General features: G+C 40.8%; 1 protein-coding gene across 3 annotated transcripts in view, besides 2 other annotated features; it reads left to right on the top strand.

Moving 5' to 3' along the window:
- ATXN1 (ataxin 1) overlaps positions 1-17956 on the top strand; it is a 462349-nt gene that overhangs the window by 265052 nt on the left and 179341 nt on the right. For all 3 annotated transcript variants that reach the window (NM_001128164.2, NM_001357857.2, NM_000332.4), the window contains one exon: positions 10300-10437. The gene's annotated coding sequence lies outside the window, so the exon portion shown is untranslated. The remainder of the gene's footprint in view (positions 1-10299; positions 10438-17956) is intronic.
- Positions 2322-2381: an enhancer, noted in NCBI's record as "active region_24110". NCBI's record gives its function as "activates an Ori minimal core promoter by ATAC-STARR-seq in GM12878 lymphoblastoid cells {active_cell/tissue: GM12878}" and the evidence as "EXISTENCE:reporter gene assay evidence [ECO:0000049][PMID:35858748]".
- Positions 3040-3149: an enhancer, noted in NCBI's record as "active region_24109". NCBI's record gives its function as "activates an Ori minimal core promoter by ATAC-STARR-seq in GM12878 lymphoblastoid cells {active_cell/tissue: GM12878}" and the evidence as "EXISTENCE:reporter gene assay evidence [ECO:0000049][PMID:35858748]".

Below are 17956 nucleotides of genomic sequence, written 5' to 3'. Positions count from 1 at the left end.
AAAGAATAATTGTATTTCTTGTTACTTACCCGGCCCTGCGTAACCCACATCAAAGTATACCTGTCTTTGGTGTTTCAACAGGTAATCCCTAGATATAATGCCAAGTGGCATTTCTGCTACATGGTATTCACAGTTAAGACCATTGAAATCCCAGTTTTAAGCTAGAATGCTTTTATGAAGCCTCCTCCAAAAAAAGAGAAGTTTTCAATAGCACCTTTGTCTTGCAATACTTTGTTCTGATTGAGTCAGAAAATTGTAATATTTAAACAAGGAGGCAGTTACTCGGAATAGTATTAAAAAAGGAGTTTAAAGTATGGAGTTGTTGTATCTGTTGGCTTTTAATTTAGTAAAACAAGTAGACCAAAAAGAAAATGAGTGCTGTTGACGTAATATTATTATGGAAAGTTCTGTGGGGGCAAACATTATGCAAAAGTAGTTAAATCTGGCACTGATTTTGAATTTCAGAAAATAATTCTGTTGTTTTTGAGCTTTGAATGGCTTTTACTAATATACCAATAATAACTTTTTTTTTTTTTTTGAGAGAGAGAGAGAGAGTCTCACTCTGTCACCCAGGCTAGAGTGCAGTGGCATGATCTCGGCTCACTGCAACCTCCGCTTCCTGGGTTCAAGTGATTCTCCTGCCTCAGCCTCGTGAGTAGCTGGGACTACAGGCGCCTGCCACCATACCTGGCTCATTTTTGTATTTTTAGTAGAGACAGGGTTTCACCATGTTGGCCAGGCTGGTCTTGAACTCCTGACCTCAAATGATCCACCTGCCTTGGCCTCCCAAAGTACAGGGATTATAGGCGTAAGCCACCACGCCTAGCCCCAATACTAATTTTTTAAAGCATGATTTGATGTCCCAGCTGTAGCCATGCAATTTTGCATGGTAGTAGTTCATAAAAAGAAAAGGAAGTTGTGGCTTTGATAGGATGCTTCCAAGGTCGTGTTTTTAATACTTTTGGTAAATTCTGTTACTTGTGTCTGTTCAAAAGGACAGAGGTTGGGAGATGCATATGTGGATTCTGTCTCTTCATTTTATCTTCACTCCCCGTTTGGTACTTTGTGAAGTCAGGCCAAATAAAATAGTTGAAGATACTATCATATAACTCTCAATATTATGGCAAAAAGAGAATGAGAGGAAAATATTTAGCTATTTCTTTTTTAGGATTTTTACTAATTGTGTTATTAAAAAGGAGCAAATAGAGCAGGAACTGAAACAGACTTAAAGTCAGAGGACTGGACTGCACACATTAGCATCTTGCAGACCTTAGCTGCTCATGATTTATAAATGCTTCAGAAATTATCAAAGCATGAGGCACAGGCTGTGTTTCAGCCTTCCCCATTTTCACCAAGCACTTCTGCAACACCTAAACACTGACCTTTTCAAGCAGGCATGAATAAAACTCTCCTCTGGGCAGAAGGTGCGTGATGACTCATGGCAACCAGAAAGGGGATGTGTAACTCGGGATGTGGAGTCTCTGGGCTTCTAGACCCAGACCTCCCTGTCTTCTGGCCCACTGTTCTTTCTGTTGTGCTACAGCAATACCTGAAGGACCTGCGTGTTGAACAAATAAGGCCAGGAATAAGTTGTCAATAGGAGCACATGACATCTTGTCTTTAAAATACTAATTTCCTGAGACGTCGTTCTACAGCTGCTCAGCACAGATTGGGTATTTATCATCTATATGTTCAACTTACATTTTATTTTCATTTTATTCTTGATATGCAGACATACTTTTCTCCAATGTATAATTATATTTCATAGCAAACTTTGCACTACGTCCATAAGGAGATGTAACCTGCATACAAATACACACAGCAGCAGTCTCTGTATGAATAAATCCTTACCTTTATGTGATAAGCCATGCTAATGATAAGAAGCAGTGACATGGATCAACATGAAATATAATTTTTTTAAAAAACCTTTGAGGATAGACATTTTTCCAGCATATTTATCTCTGATAATGTGTTCTTTAGGCCGGTACTAATTTTGGATTTTATTCCTTGAACACAAACCAGTTAATATACACAGAGAATATTCTGAGTGCATGCTAGGTATCCAAGGACTGCCAGTTTGTAAGAAATTTTACAATGGATAACTCCCATAAATGATCAAATGTTGACTGAACAGGGAACGCATGATATTGTGAATAAATCATATTCTTCAGAATACCTTGAGTTTTGGCCTACCTCCCACGCTGACCTCCCTCCAACTCTTCTTGAGGTCTAACTGGACTCTCAGTCCAGCCCTGCACTGGAGATGCCTCTCAGTCCAGCCCTGCACTGGAGATGCCTCTCAGTCCAGCCCTGCACTGGAGATGCCTCTCCATGGGAAAGGGGTGTTTTTGGCCCAGTTTGCCTGCCACTTAAGCTCCTTGGTGGGCAGGGTGGAGACAGGGCTCTGCACCCTGCTGGGCTGAGTGTGCTCATTCAGAGGAAGCATTTCTGAACTCTGCAATTGCCAGCAGCCCTGGCAGCTTCTCTTTATTCCTCAGAAAGGAAATACAAAGAGTTACCTTTAGTTCTGAGTTGGAAAAAGAGGCTGTTGTGGAACATTTCATTGAGGGACTGCACAGTTTCCTTAGAGACTTATGTGATGATTTTTCTCCAAGTCACCCAAAAGGGTGTTCTTCCATTTGAACACCTGTCCTCTTCCATGGAGGACAGAGACTCAAAGACATATAACGTCTTCAAGTATAATGTAATATAATACCATGTTATCAATCAGTTAATCAACAAATATTGATCAAAGAGTTATCATTTGCGAAAGCCCCGTGAAGCTTACAAAAAGAAGACAGACATAAACCCTACCTTTACGGAAGTTACCACATTCCACTTGGGGAGATGACACCTATTGTAGGATAAGGAATAAAATGGTTAGTAACATAAGGAAAATGAATTTTAAAACCATAGGCATTCACATGCAAAAACAAAACAACCAAAAAAAAAAAAAAAAAAACTTCTGATTGAGAAAGTTGTAGAATAAGAGGATAAAAGAGTTGTAGAAAAAGTGGGATTTGAGCTGGTCTTGGGAGGTCTGGCTTACATTTTGACACGTGGAGTAGAAATGCGGGCTCTCAGAGAGGAAGTGAGAAGCTCACTGTGGCTGCTTCAGTGTGCATGAGGGGAGAAGTAGAAATGAAGTTGGAAAAGCATGCTGGGGCCAGATTGTGAAGATCTTCAGCATCAAATAAAGAATTTCGAAGATGTTCAGTAAGCTGTAGGAACCAATGAAGGTATGGATGGCACGGGGAAGTTGTGTTATATCTACTTTAGGAAGTTCGATCCAACAGGGATGACTCAAATGGTTTAGAGAGAGAAAGCATTGACAAGAAGACCAATGAGCAGGCTGCTGTGAGAGGAATTCAGTCTGAGCTAGCATGGGGCGGTGAAGATAGAAAGGGTGCAGAATTGGTAGGACTTGGAAACCGATGGAATGTGGGAGAAAGAGTAGAAGATGATGATGCTGTCAGCTTCCATCAGAAATTAAAGAGGAGGAGCTGGGTTTGGAGCAAGGGACTGGGAAAGTTTGAAATAAACATAATTTGTTTCCACTGCATATATCCAGGAGTTTGTAGGGGGAGATACCAGGGACCAGGATACAGATTTAAGAACGATAAACAGTAGAAGGAAATCATTATAGAAAGTGAATAGAACTGAGCAGATAGCCTTAGGAAATCTGTCCCCTAGAGTTAGAAAGAACAGAGAGAGCAAAAAACTGCAGAGGGGCCATAAGGAGTAATATAAGGAACCCAAGAAAGTACCATCTCAGAGAAATTAAGAATATTTGTTTATTTTGGTTACAATAGACAAATTAAACTCAAAGTGATTCAAGCAAAAAAAAAAAGAAATGTATTGTATTATATGTGGATTGGTTTTCTATTGCTGTATGACAAACTACAAATATAGTGACTTAAACAACACCTATTTATTTTTTTTTGTGTGTGCATCTTTTCTTTTTTTATTTTTTATGTTATTATTATTATACTTTAGGTTTTAGGGTACATGTGCACAATGTGCAGGTTAGTTACATATGTATACATGTGCCATGCTGGTGTGCTGCACCCATTAACTCGTCATCTAGCATTAGGTATATCTCCTAATGCTATCCCTCCCCGCTCCCCCCACCCCACTACAGTCCCCAGAGTGTGATGTTCCCCTTCCTGTGTCCATGTGTTCTCATTGTTCAATTCCCACCTATAACAATACCTATTTATTATCTCACAGTTTCTGGAGGTGCGAAGTCCAGGCATGGCTTAGTTGAATTATCTGTTGGAGGTCCGAAGTCCAGGCATGGCTTAGCTGAATTATCTGTTCAGGGTTTCATAAGACTGAAATTGAGGTGTCAACAGGGCTGCCTTATTATCTGGAGCTCATGGTCCTTTTTCAAGCTCACATGGTTTTTTGTATTTAGTTTCTTGTGGTCGTAGGACCAAGGTCCCGTTCCATTGCTGGCTGTGAGCTGGGGGCCACTCTCAGGTCCTGGCATTCACCTTCAGTTCCTTGCCATATGACTTGCCTCCTCCATCAACATGTCCTCTCTCACTTTGAATCTCATTCCTGGTAAAGCCCCATCCCTTTTAGGGTTCTCTTAATTAGATCAGGCTCACCAAGATAATCTCTCTATTTTAAGGTTGGTTGACTTTGGACCTCACTTATATTTGCAAAATCCCTTCACAACAGCAGAACCTTGATTACTGTCCCACTGACTAACTGGGAAGAGGTGTGTGTCTGGCAGGGGACATGGCAATCTTGTGGGCTACGTTAGAATTTGGTCTATCATAATATAACTAAAAATTCCAGGGATCAGGCCGGGCGCCATGGCTCACACCTGTAATCCCGGCACTTTGGGAGGCTGAGGCAGGTGGATCACTTGAGGCCAGGAGTTCAAGACCAGCCTGTCTTGAACATGGCCAACATGGTGAAACCCTGTCTCTACTAAAAATACCAAAAATTAGCCGGGCGTAGTGGCTGGTGCCTGCAGTCCCAGCTACTCAGGAGGCTGAGACAGGAGAATTGCTTGAACCTGGGAGGCAGAGGTTGCAGTGAGCTGAGATTGCGCCATTGCACTCCAGCCTGGGCAACAAGAGCGAAACCTTGTATCAAAAAAAAAAAAAAAAAAAAAAAATAATAATAATAATAATAATTAGCCAGGTGTGGTGGCATATGCCTATAATCCCAGCTACTCGGGAGGCTGAGTCAGGAGTATTGCTTGAACTCGGAGTCAGAGGTTGCAGTGAGTGAGACCGTGCCACTGCTCTGTCTGGGTGATGGAGCAAGACTTCGTCTCAAAAAAAAAAAAAAAAAAAAAAAAATCCAGGGATCCGTCTAACTTCTGGCATGGCTAAATCCAAGGGACTTTACTGTCATCAGGACTCAGATTTTCTGTCTTTCAGCTTTTCTCTGTACTGGGAAGCTTCCTTCTCCAGTGGGCTTTCTGTAAGAGGTGGCTAAAGAAACCAGCTGTTAGTAGCATCATGCTCCCGTGGTCTCACTAGGAAAGAGTGTGTTGCTCCTCTTAGTTCCAGGTAGTCTGAGAGAGGCCTTTGATTGGCTTGCCTTGGGTACATGCCTACCCCTAGGCCAGTCACTGTGGCTGGAGGGTTGTTGTATTACGATTGCCCAGACCTGGGTCATATGTCCATCTTCCAGGCCAATGTGTGAAGTCATCCCAGCCCAGATAACAGCCAAGGGGAGAGATCATTCCAGAAAAGATGCTGTTCAGGCAAAAATGCTAGTCTACTAAATAAAAGGAAAAGAAAATGGAAGGAACTATTACTAGTGAACTGTATCAGACATTGTTAGAGAAGTTAAGAGGAGGACTCAGCAAAGGTCACTGCATTTAGAAGGCAGGAAACCATTCTTGACCTTTGGAGGAGAAGGAAGGTTACTAACACAGAGAAAAGTGGTGGAAATCAAGCTCCAGAGTTTTAAGATGTAGGCGGTGAAATACTGGCATTGAATGTATAGTACAACTGTTTGTTGGTAAACAGAAGAGAGAGGACAGCCATTTGGGACTGTATTAGGGTATGGATAAATTCTTTTAGGAATAGCAGTGACTGAGTATGCTTGGAGTGTGAGAAATTTCCAGTAGAGAGGAAAAAGACTGAAGGGAAGTTGGGAGCAGAGTTGACCCCAGCAGGATCTGGAACCAGTAGGAGGAGAATGGATTCAGACTCCAAGTAGAGAGGCCACACACAGTGTAATAACCTGGGTAATATAGTGTGTGAAGTTTTTTGTTGTTTGGTTTTTGGTTTTTTTTTTTTTTTTTGGTCATTTGTCGCTTCTTTGAAATAGACAGGTATCATTGCTTTCAATGTAGCTATCAAATGGTGATTAAATGTACTCAAAAGATCCTCAGCATCTCTCTGGCCCTGTAATTGACAGAAACATTTAACCTTAGAGAAGTGGTTCTCAAAGTCTGGTCCCTGGACCAGCAGTATCAGCATCACCTGGGAACTTGTCAGAAATACAAATTATCTGACCCCACCCCAAGCCTACTGAATCAGAAATTCTACAGATGGGTCTTAGCATTCTCTGATTTAACAAGACCCTCTAGCCATTTCTATTCGTTTCTTTCCTTTTTTTGAGTCGGAGTCTTGTTCTTTCGCCCAGGCTGGGGTACAGTGGCGTGATCATAGTGCATTGCAGCCTTGAACTCCTGAGCTCAAGCCACCTTCCTGCCTCAGCCTCCCAAAGTGCTGGGATTACAGGTGTGAGCCACTGCACCTGGCCTTCTCCAGCCATTTCTGATGCTGCTTCAAGTTTGAATATCACTGCCTCAGAGGTCTGCATCTCCCCTCCACATGCCATGAAGGTTTCCTTAATAGTGGCTTTGAGAAGCTATGAGAGCTAGTGATGTAAGCTGCTGGTGATGAGGAAATGGGGGAGTTTGTAAATCTTGAAAGGAGATGACAACTGTTCAAATTCCACTAATGACTTAAGATGTAATGGATTGGAAGAACAGAATAGAAAGGCTAAGTTGTAATTTAATTTTTTTTGAGTTTGTGGAGGGCTGACACATGATGATGATAGGCATCATCAGACTTTCAAGTCCCTGGAAGACAGAGAAAGGTGAAATGGGCTTAAAGCATAGCTGTAGACTGGTGATTCTTTTGGAGTAAGGGTTAAGTCCTAGAACAGGTTTTGGATATGGATCATTTAAGTTAAATCCAGGCTCTTCCACTAGATGCTGTTAGGAGGTTGCAAAAGAAGGGCATGGCAAGGTTTCTTTCATCAGAGAGCTTAGAAACTTTTTGAGCCTTCAAGACTTAAATAAATCCAGTGGAGTATAAAAAGACAGTATAACAAAGTGCTGAACTGAAAAGGACCTTGGGTCAGAATGTGTGGTAGAGACTGTAAGTGCTGTGGGCAGTCAGGGGAAGGAGAAATTGGCATTGTGTCATTTTCTCCTCTAGGCAGAGGATGAAACTGACAGCCTGGCGTAATTTCCCAGGTCCGATGGCAAGATATTGGACACCTTGGCTTCAGGAAGTGCTTTTTCTTGTTCTCTCTCTCCTTTCTGAGTGTGTCAAAGTTGCCAGGTCAAAGTGAAGGTTTATACTCTGAGACTTTGAATGTGGAATATTGTTAATATTTTTGTTTGTATAAGAAGCTTGTAGGATAAATTACATTTTATCTTGGACATTTTAAATGGAAAGAGACTCAAATAGAAGTTTGGCATATTTGTTTCAGACAGGCTTTCAGACTTACTCCATTCATGGGGAGAACATGAATGAGCCTGTTGGATGATGCTTTAATGTTGTAGGATGAAGAAAGCAAACTACTGATTTTCCTTAGTGGAAGAATTAAGTTGAGCCAGATGTGGGATGATAGGGAAGAAGAAAACACTTCAGATGAACATGACATTTCCACTGCTTTTAATTTCTTTGCACCTTGCTTGCGGCTCATGTGGGTAAGTAAACAGACCACTGAACCAAGAACCAAGAGAGAAGGTTGACGGAACACTGTTAACGGTGGGCATAAAAGCTGTTTAAGTCCAAGAGAGAAATAGTAAAAATACCGTAATCATCAAGGGGAAGCCAGAAATCTGGTACCTGATCCAAGGTCCTAAAGATGTTTTTCAGAAGTCTACAAGTAATGTGATCTGTTTTCAGTCCTTTTTGGGGGAGGGTTTTCTTAACTTCAGCTGTGGCATGCAGGTGTCAACAAGAGAGCTTCCTTTTACTTCACTGTGATAACGGAGTGACTTGGGGTGCATTAGAGAGCAGGGTCATTATTTGCTGTCACATCAAGAATAATACCTGCATCAGGGGTGTTCCTCTCACCGAAATTAATCACAGAGAAGGTGTGTGTTGCTCTGATGGCCTAGCAGTCAGAAAGATGAATCATCTCTTATTTCAAGGTATGGAGAACAGTTGTGTCACTCATTTCTTTTTCAAGGAGACTCAGTTGAAATGGCAAAATAAAAAAGAGAGAAATAACAGAACACAGTTGTACATCACTAGATCAGTTCGTATAATACAGACTGTTTCCTCTACCTGGAAACCTGATGCCTGGCTAACTTCTGCTCATTTTTGACTTTCCTGTTCGAATGTTAGTTTTGTAAGAGAAGCCTTCCTGAGACCCTCCTTCTAAGTGAGGTACCCCCATCATGACTACAAATCACAATGTTCATTTTTCCTTCATATTGCCTATCCAGTTTTCAAATTTTATGCATCTCCTAAAACTCATATAATTATTTAATTCTGTCCCTCTTGAGGCAGTGAGCTCCTTGGGTGCAGGGTCCTGGGCTATTTTGTTTACCATGTATTCCCCAGTTGAACACAGAGCCTGGTGGATTTAGCAAGTACCAAGTAAAATTGTATCAAGCGAATGATTTAATTAATGAGAAAGCACTTGGTAAACTGTATTCATTATGAAAGTGATGGTTAATTATGTGAGTAGCAGACACCTCCTTTCTCTCTTCTGTCCCAATTTTGTCTCTCCATTTTTTATTAGTTCTTTATTTTGAGATATACTTGTCAGTGTGTTACCAATTCCAAATCTAAGATTTGTTATTATTCATTCTTGCCTTTTTTTAGAGATAAAGGACCACTCTTTTTTGTTTTTTTTCCTCAGAAATGCTATTAATGACACCCACAATGCTAATACTACAACTGTTTTTTCTGTGCATGCTCATGATTTGAAAGGAAAAACATGACTGGCCTTTGTCGATGATGTATTTGGGAAGCAACAAGATTCTAGTGTAGCACTTAAATTCTGTTTCTTGTCATCCTCAAAGCTGCTAATACAAGTTCCTTTGCCTCAAGTGTGCTTCTCAAAAGTATACAAGGCGAAATAAGTTGATAGTATCGTTCCAGGAGAAGCTGTTCCTGGGTCAGCCTTGAAAGGGGGAAAAAAATCAAGAAATCCAGGTGTGGAAAATATTAATGATCAGGATATGAATAAGTCTTTTCATTAAAAGCAACAGCAAATAAACAAAAAGTTATCCAATCCTTTTCCAGCAGGGCCTCGCTGTGCCACTCTGGTGGGTGTAAGTGTTGTCTTCGGTGGGCGGAAATGGCAGACAGCCAAGTGGAAAATTTCACAGTGTCGCAAACATTCAGTGCACGAAACGCTGCAAACCAGCAATCTGAGGGAGCCGTGTACCAAATAACCACGCTCCTGCATGTGCCCTACTGCCCACCTTACACTCTTTCTCCTAGCTTCCTGCGTGATGCCTTCACTTTCTTTTTCCCGGAGATTCCAGATTCTTCGTTTCTGTTCCTATTCTTTCCTGAAACTCAGCACAGTAGGGCATGCAGACGTTTGGATGCTCCCGGGATAGTTGATGATTGGTGCCTTACCAGTGCTGGCTTTTGTATTCTGGCTCCAGAGCTCAGGAACAGGCTTATGACCACCAACAACGCTTTGCATTAACATAGTGGATTTCTTCTCGGGAACTGTGTGTGCTTTGCAAGAATGATCTTCTTGATCTTCTCCATGACCCAGTAAGATATGACAGTGGCAGAAGGTGCTAGTCCTTGCCTCCTTTTGCAGAAGAGTAAAGCCAAGTGGCCTGTTTTGAGGCTTTTGCAAGTTTGCATCTCAGCTAAGATTGTGTCTGAAGTCTCCCAGAAATGGCTTCAACTTTGGGGTGAGGAGAGGCTGGCTGTACCATGTTGTGTTCTTTTTGGGAAAAGAGCAAGAACATTGAACTTCTTTTTTAAGAAAATGGTCTTTGGTGAACTATCAATTCGTCTAATTGGTCGTGAGACTGTATTTGTTCAGATAACAAGTGATTTGATGATGTGTTTACCTTTTTCTTTTTCTTCTGTTCTATTTCCATGCTAGGTATTTCTCACTTCTCTGTGAAAGGAAGAAAGAACACGCCTGAGCCCAAGAGCCCTCAGGAGCCCTCCAGAGCCTGTGGGAAGTCTCCATGGTGAAGTATAGGCTGAGGCTACCTGTGAACAGTACGCAGTGAATGTTGTAAGTTAACAACCAAGAACAATATGTGTAGTGGCTTGCCTTGTAGGATTCATGAATCACTTGATGTAACCGAGCCAGGTGTTGAAGGGGTATTAGCATGAGCTCTAGGTGATCGTCCAATTAATTTCTTTTTTTAATTGGAAGGGAATTTAATTTTTTAAGGGAAGAGGTCCTGTTTGTATTTGCTGGAACTTGCCTTTCTCTCGGCTTCTATGGCATGCTGCAAACTATCTACTTCAGGAATAAAAGGATGGAATACAGTGATTCTTTCATTGTAGGAACACCTTTTCTACTGGTACAGTCAAATAGTATCAGATTTAGAGCAGCCCCTTTAAACTGGGCTGTTGCAGTTCTTTTAGGTTGGTGAGTAGGGGGTAAAATTCTCCAGGCTAAGGATTAGCAATCAGAGTTTCCATCCAGCAATTATTCTTCTGTATGTGCAGTTGATGAAAATGACATTTTTCTCTCTGGCTTGTAAAATCTTGAGGTATGCAAGTTACAAGCAGTTATGTTTGGTGCTTCCCTTACTTAAAATGAGCTGATTTACTGGTTTTGATCAGTTACTGGCTTGGGATTTTGAGATTAGTAAAGTTTGTTCCCACATGTCACCTGATGGCCGCCTTGCATGAGAAGTTTTAGTGTCAGGTAATGGAAGAGATGACATAGTGTGACTTCAGGGAGCCCTTCCACTAGGAAATAATGCAAAGGTGCTCAGCCCTCCTACTTTCTAGAGAATTTACCTTGTTGCTGGACTGTGTCACAAAACACAGTTAGGAGATTTTGACCAGGAAAGAAAATAGCTACATGAAACCCAGGATGGCCTATGAATACCTCTGAGGACGAGAAGATATTATCTTCAAATTTTAGGAAATGACAAGCCAATTTCTTCTAGGTTTTTGTTGTTGTTTTTGTGTATATATAAATACATATATTTCTGTAATATATATGTATACTCTTGTTTATGTATGTGTGTGCGTGTACACACACACACACACACACACACACACACACACACACACACACATATATATTTAGGTTTCCAGCTTCTTAACTCAGCCAGAAAACTTTTTTGAACATGTATTACCTATTTTTTTTGCAGTTGCCTACAAGATTTGTAAAGAGCAAAGTGTAGCATATATCAGGGAGAAAAGTATTGACAAGGAAAAAAAATGTTCCTAATTTTTTTGGTTTCATAGATTTCTAAACATTTGTATTAAAATATGCATATGTATCCATATCATCTCCTCAGGGTTAAATAATCAGTAATATTAATATGAGCTTATTAAATTCAAATTTTCCCAGTGCTTCATTGAAAGCAGACAGTGGGAGACACTGAAGCTTCATTGTGTTTCCATTCTGTACACGTTGGGTCTAGTGGAAATCAGTCAGCCTGGAATCAGCTGACCTGAATCCTATTCCTACTGTTGAGATCAAGTACACTGGCAACCTTGGGCAAGTCGCGAGCCCCCATAAAACAATATTTTGCAAGTCTGTGTATTGCTTCATACTACCTTATTTTCATTTTTTTCTTTTTAATTGAGGTGGTGCCTTACTCTGTCACCCAGGCTGGAGTGCAATGGCAAGATCTCGATTCACTGCAACCTCTGCCTCCCAAGCTCAAGTGACCCTCCCACCTCAGCCTTCAGAGTAGCTGGGACCACAGGTGCACACCACCATGCCTGGCTAATTTTTTGTATTTTTGGTAGAGACAGAGTTTCACCATGTTGCTCAGGCTGGTCTTGAACTACTGAGCTCAAGTGATCCTCCCGCCTCTGCTTCCCAAAATGTTTTGATTACAGGCATGAGCCACCATCCCCAGCCCATACTACCTTTTTATTAAGCAATCAGCATCTTGGTTTAGGGTCCTCATAAGGGGAAGAGCATTGTGAAAGCACTATTTTACTTATTTTTTTAAAAAAAACCTTATTGTAAAAGTTTCTGTCACTATCAAGGAATAATTGTGGGCCATGTTAGATTTGGGTACTCCAGTTACAGTGTGTTTTACTAGAAATCATTTTCCCAATCAGGTAACTGTTAGAATGCACTTCTGGTGGTATTTTTTAAAGCATTTTTATCCTAGGAAACAAGTGTCTTATGTAAAACTGCTTTAGGTTTCAGGCTCTATTTAAATAACTCATGCAGTTACCATAATCAAGATAGCTTTTGTTTCAAATCTAGTGGGGGTTTTTTGTTGTTGTTTTAACCGTTGCTTTGAACTGTTCATGTGACACCCTGTCAGACCTCAAAGATTGAGTGAGGTTTTCAAAGGACTTCTGAAGTGTACACTTTAAGATGCCACATGGCAGACTTGAAGTAATTTTAAAATCCTTCTGTAAATGGAGTGTGTTGAGAGAGCAAGGAAATACCAAATTCTAGTGAACTCTTTGTGCATGCTAAGTACTTTCTTTTCAAAACCGCATTTGCTTGGTAGGGGCAGTGGGGGGTTCCTAGTTTTCTTAGTAAACTGTGATGTTGGTAACCTTTCATTATCTGGGCACATGTTTACAACACTGGTTTTCTGTCTTCCTGGGTTTAGTGTCCTGCATGCCCCAAAGCCTGTGCCATGGAGAACTGTTGCAGTAGAGAAGGCAGGCAATTTTCAAAGAATGCATGTTTGCACATAAACAGGGTCTAGGAGTGGGTGTATAAATGTGTGAGTGATAATCACAGCAGCCATTGGAAGTAGTGGTTCCCATGCTCAGCAGTCCTTGCAGATGTTACTCCTGGCATTCATTCCTGTGCATGTCCCATTAACTGCCTCTCAAATCTGCCACCACTTGCCAGCAGATGGCCTTTGCCCCTGAAGATGTTTCAGACTGGCTGTAAGGGCTGGGGGGAGGGGGGATCTTGTACAAGAAGAGAATGATGCTGACACTGAACTCAGAGTTAGCAGACCTGGATTTTATGCACAATGCTGTTGTTAGCCATATAACCTTGGGTCCTCTCTACCATGGGGACTCATTTTATGATGGACAACTTGAGAAAATTGAGTTAAATCACCTCCAGTGGTGGTTTTTACCCTAAGTGTCTCAAGTTGCATAAAGTATCAGCCTTAGATGAGGCCAATTGAACGTTTATTTTACCTTCTTGGGTTCCTAAAAATCAATGATTTGGCACTACCTCATTTACAACTGTTTTTAAAACATTGAGCACAGTCTTAGGGTTAAAAGAAAAAAAGAGTTATTACATCTTTCACTACCATGAAACCCTTTCCACAAGACCCTCCTGGGCACCATATGACAATTCAAAGGTATTTATTTGAGACTGTCCTTAGACTATAGCTTTAGCTGTTTAAATTTAGGGTCCACACTCATTGGTCCTTTTGAAAATAAACAGGAACGATTTTTGAACTTGAGTTTTCTAAAACCACCTCTGTGCTCAAATATTGGTTAGAGTCTAAGCAAGGAGAAAGTGATCCATATTTCATTCCTAAGCTTCTCTGCTTCCTTAAGTAGGAATTCTTGAGTTACCTTATCAAAGCAGCCTTCCCTGATCTACATAAAATAGCATCCACCCCATCCCTCTCAGTCCTCTAGCCTTCTGTGTTTTTCTTTTAAGCACCTTACATATTATATATTTATTTGTTAATCATCAGTCTCCTCAACTAGTCTGCAAGCTCTGCAAAAGGAGGGATGGTATTCTTATCCTTATTCTCATTCTTATTCTTCCCTGGTGAATGAATAGTACCTAAAATACTGCTTGTTCCCATAATGGGCAGTCAGTAAATATTCATTGAGTGAATGCCTAAATGACATTCACTAAGTGAATGCCTCTCATGTGTGGGCCTGAGCCATTAGGAAAAGGAACATACATGCTGTTCTGATGAGAATGCTTGAATCTGATAGCAGTTTAAGGGTGTGGGGAAGGGATGGAGAGTCTAGACTATTTTCCTTAGAAGTGGATACTTGATGTGTATAAAGAAATGTGAGGAGGGAACAATTTGTGTAAAAAAAAAAAAATTCTAGACCTATCAGTAGAGTTTGGGGATTTTCTAATACTTTTTTTAAAAGTCTGCACTGTCTGTATTTCCTCTCCTTTTCCATTTGAGTGGTTTGCTTTGTCACTTGTTTGTGAGCATCCTGCCCTGGCTTTCTGTGAACGGCGGTGGTTTTGTCTCTTATCATCACATCATTTCATCACTGCTTACGTTCATATTTCTTTTCAAAGTAGGGATGGGCCTGAAGTGCTGTATCTCCCTAGAAAGGGGCTGACTGAATAACACTTCATTCTAGTGCACACCTTAGAATGAAAAAATGGTGTGCTGGTACAAATGAAACCCATTTAATGTCTCTGTGGTGTGTGATGGGAAGTTCACAAAAGCTTTCTTAGGGAGGCATTGTGCTAGTTAGCTTTTGAGGACAGCAATAATAAAGGTTTCTGGAATTTTGTGTGTCTATGGACTCCCTTTTCAGAATAACTGCTCTGAGTGCAGGCATTACTTTATTCCTAGGAAGAAATGGAGAGACTAAAATAAATACCTCTGTACCTGTGTAAACAGCATTATGCTGTCTGTGTAAGTCTTAAAAAATGGGAGCTGAATTTCTCTTACTCTGAATCTCCAGACTAAGAGAATTGCACACACACGCACACTCTAATAAGAGCAATCTGGGAATTTCCCTCTGTGTCTGTCAGTTTGTACCTTTTAGATTTGCCATCTGTGATACCAAATTCTCCAGCGTTACAAAAAAAAAATCTGAAGTAGATAAGAGGGTCAGGAGAGAAGGGGAGATTCCACCACTTTTGGACAAGTGAGGGAGAACAATCTCCTTTTTCTTAAATCCTTGCTTGTAATGCTCCTGCAGATTGACCTACAGATTGTAAAGGCAGAGAGGTTATGACTGAGCTCATTCCATCCAAGTGCACTGGGGATAGCTTCAAGTCTTCTAGAGTTTTCTCTTTCACCCATTTCTCTCTCTTCCTCAGACTTCCTTGAATGGCTTCTGATTGACAGCTTCACTAGTTCCTGGCCATTGCCCCTGGTGTGTTATTTGGGATGGGCACCTTTGGCAGGGTCTTTGCAGGAGTCACTGCTTCTAAGAAGTGGTGTCAGAGCTACCTCCTGAGGCAACTGACAAAGCGTAGCCCATCCCAGGCACACCCTTTCCCCTCAGCACCTTCTTCCTCAAGTACTCAGCTCCTCCTCTCAGCATCTTGGAGAGGAGGAGGAAAATGCAAAGAACACCCAGACGTTGTGGAAGGAAAAAAGTTCATGGATCTTTTACAACATTTGTGTTCTATGGGGTGAAACAACATCAACAGCCTGGTCAGGCTGCTTTGTAACTGAATAGTGCCAAGGTAAAATGCTTTTGTGTCCTCTTTAAGTTTAGAGTTCACTCAATTACATGATATTTATTAAAAGAGTGTTGTGTGCCAGGATGTTCTTGAGTCTATCAGGGATCCAGGGCTGAGTAATCTGTACTTACTGCCCTTTGAGACTCTAGGAAGGTGCTATGGGAAGGATGTACTTGGTGGCGGAGTCAGGTGTACCGAAAGGGACGATGGGTAAGAGTTGTCAGCGCTGGAATTTCAGGGAAGACATCTAAATTGAGCCTTCAAGCAGAGGTGGAATTTCAACCCAATATATATGTGTATTTAGAGAAGACAAAGGATGCTTTGAGAAGAGACTAGGAATAGTATTTTATGTACTACTTCTGTGTCTGGGCATGTGAGAGCTCAGAGCCAGAGCTTTCCTTCCATCAGAAATTGTTTGGTTTGAACACTGACAAAAACATAGCATGAGGATTTGTAGCACATGGCCACCAGGCCACCATTTTCTTCAGGATCATTTTAGATATTTTTTTTTTTTTTTTTTTTTTTGCAGATGAAGTCTCTTGCTGTGTTGCCCAGGCTGGAGGGCAGTGGCACGATCTTAACTCACTGCAACCTCCACCTTCTGGGTTCAAGCGATTCTCCTGCCTCAGCCTCCCAAGTAGCTGGGATTACAGGTGTGCCTCACAATGCCCGGCTAATTTTTGTATTTTTTGTAGAGACAAGGTTTCACCATGTTGGCCAGGCTGATCTCAAACTCTTGAGCTCAAGTGATCTGCCCACCTCGGCTTCCCAAAATGCTGGGATTATAGGCATCAGCCACTACGCCTGGCACATTTTGGATCTTTATATGTAAAAGTTGAAGCAAGAACTTGGGATGCCTAAAGAATGATGCCTCCCAGCATTAGTAAGGGCAGTGTTTCCAACTGAACTTTGTACAGAAAAACCCAAACAAAACTAAAGATGTATTTTTTAGGTGGTATAAATTCGAAGTGCTCAATGTTCAAGAATCCACAATAAAGAAGGGCAGGGATGACTGAATAGTGATAAGAACTAGTTGACATTGTTTAGTCATAGAACCCAAACAAAATCTATTGGTTCTTAACAACACATAAATTACTCCTTAGGACTAATGTAAACAGACAAATAGAAAGGTAACTTCATTTTTTAATTATCTAAATTTTTCACTTTTGTAAAAGAATCATATTATACCATAAAAATATTAACCATGTCTCCAACTTAAATTCATGTTAAATTTCCAGTGGTAGCTATGTAATAAATTATTGCTAAGTAGAATTGTAGACTGAAAGAATTAATCCATCTTCTATAAATCCTGAAGATTATGTTAACCTTTTCCAGACACCTAAACAAGTATGTTACATGATTCAGAAAAAGTCATTTTTGACAAGTATAAAATGATTTTGAGGTGTGATAGCAAATTAGCTGTTTCAAACCTATGTTAGAGAAATTAAGTTTTCAGAGCAATTTTTTTTTGTATTTGTGCTTATATTCCTGAAACAACTTGCTTAAGGAGAGTCTCCTTAAATGGAAACATAAATGGTATACAAATGGCTATCCTCTATCATAATCTTTTATTTCCAAAACTCAGACAGGTTTTTATCATCATGCTCTTTGGACTCTTAACCATCTTCTTCTACTTTTAAATTCTACTTCTTTCTCAATACATTTTTAAACAGCATCTTGTGATCATTTCCCAGTCTTGAGTGCCTGGCACTGGGAGGTGACCTGCCCACATTGCTGTCAGAATTCGCTGCTGGACCCCTGCACAGGTCCCAGGCTGTTGGTTACGTGTTTCAATCTGCACATCAGCCATCCTCACCAGCCTTCCTTTGTGCATCTGGAAATAAAAATGCTCTTGATAAAATGGTTTTCTAAAGTTTCCATTAGGTTGCTCTTCATTTCATTTTTCCTTTCTTCTTCCCAAGCCTTTGTGGCTTGCATAGAATTGAAAAAAAAAATGTAATTTCTCCAGGGCTAAAATCCAAGACTTTGATAGGCAGTCTTAATGCATGGGGCTCCTACGAGTTGCTACCCGTTATAAGCATTGTAAAACTCACCCTGCAGAACAAAGAGAACTGGGCACAAAGATTATTCTCTTCTTCAACCATGGCAAGCCCTAGTTTTCCGGTTTCCTTTGCCTTTTCCTTCTTTGATCTCTAAAAGAAGGTAGAAGAGTAGAACGCTATTGTTCAGAAAGGAGAAAGCTATTGCTTGTCCAAACAGATTGTTT

This window comes from Homo sapiens, chromosome 6 (genome assembly GCF_000001405.40).
Source record: "Homo sapiens chromosome 6, GRCh38.p14 Primary Assembly".
NCBI classification, from domain to species: domain Eukaryota; kingdom Metazoa; phylum Chordata; class Mammalia; order Primates; family Hominidae; genus Homo; species Homo sapiens.
The sequence above is the reverse complement of the archived record's forward strand: the minus strand, read 5'-3'. Positions and strand labels throughout refer to the sequence as shown.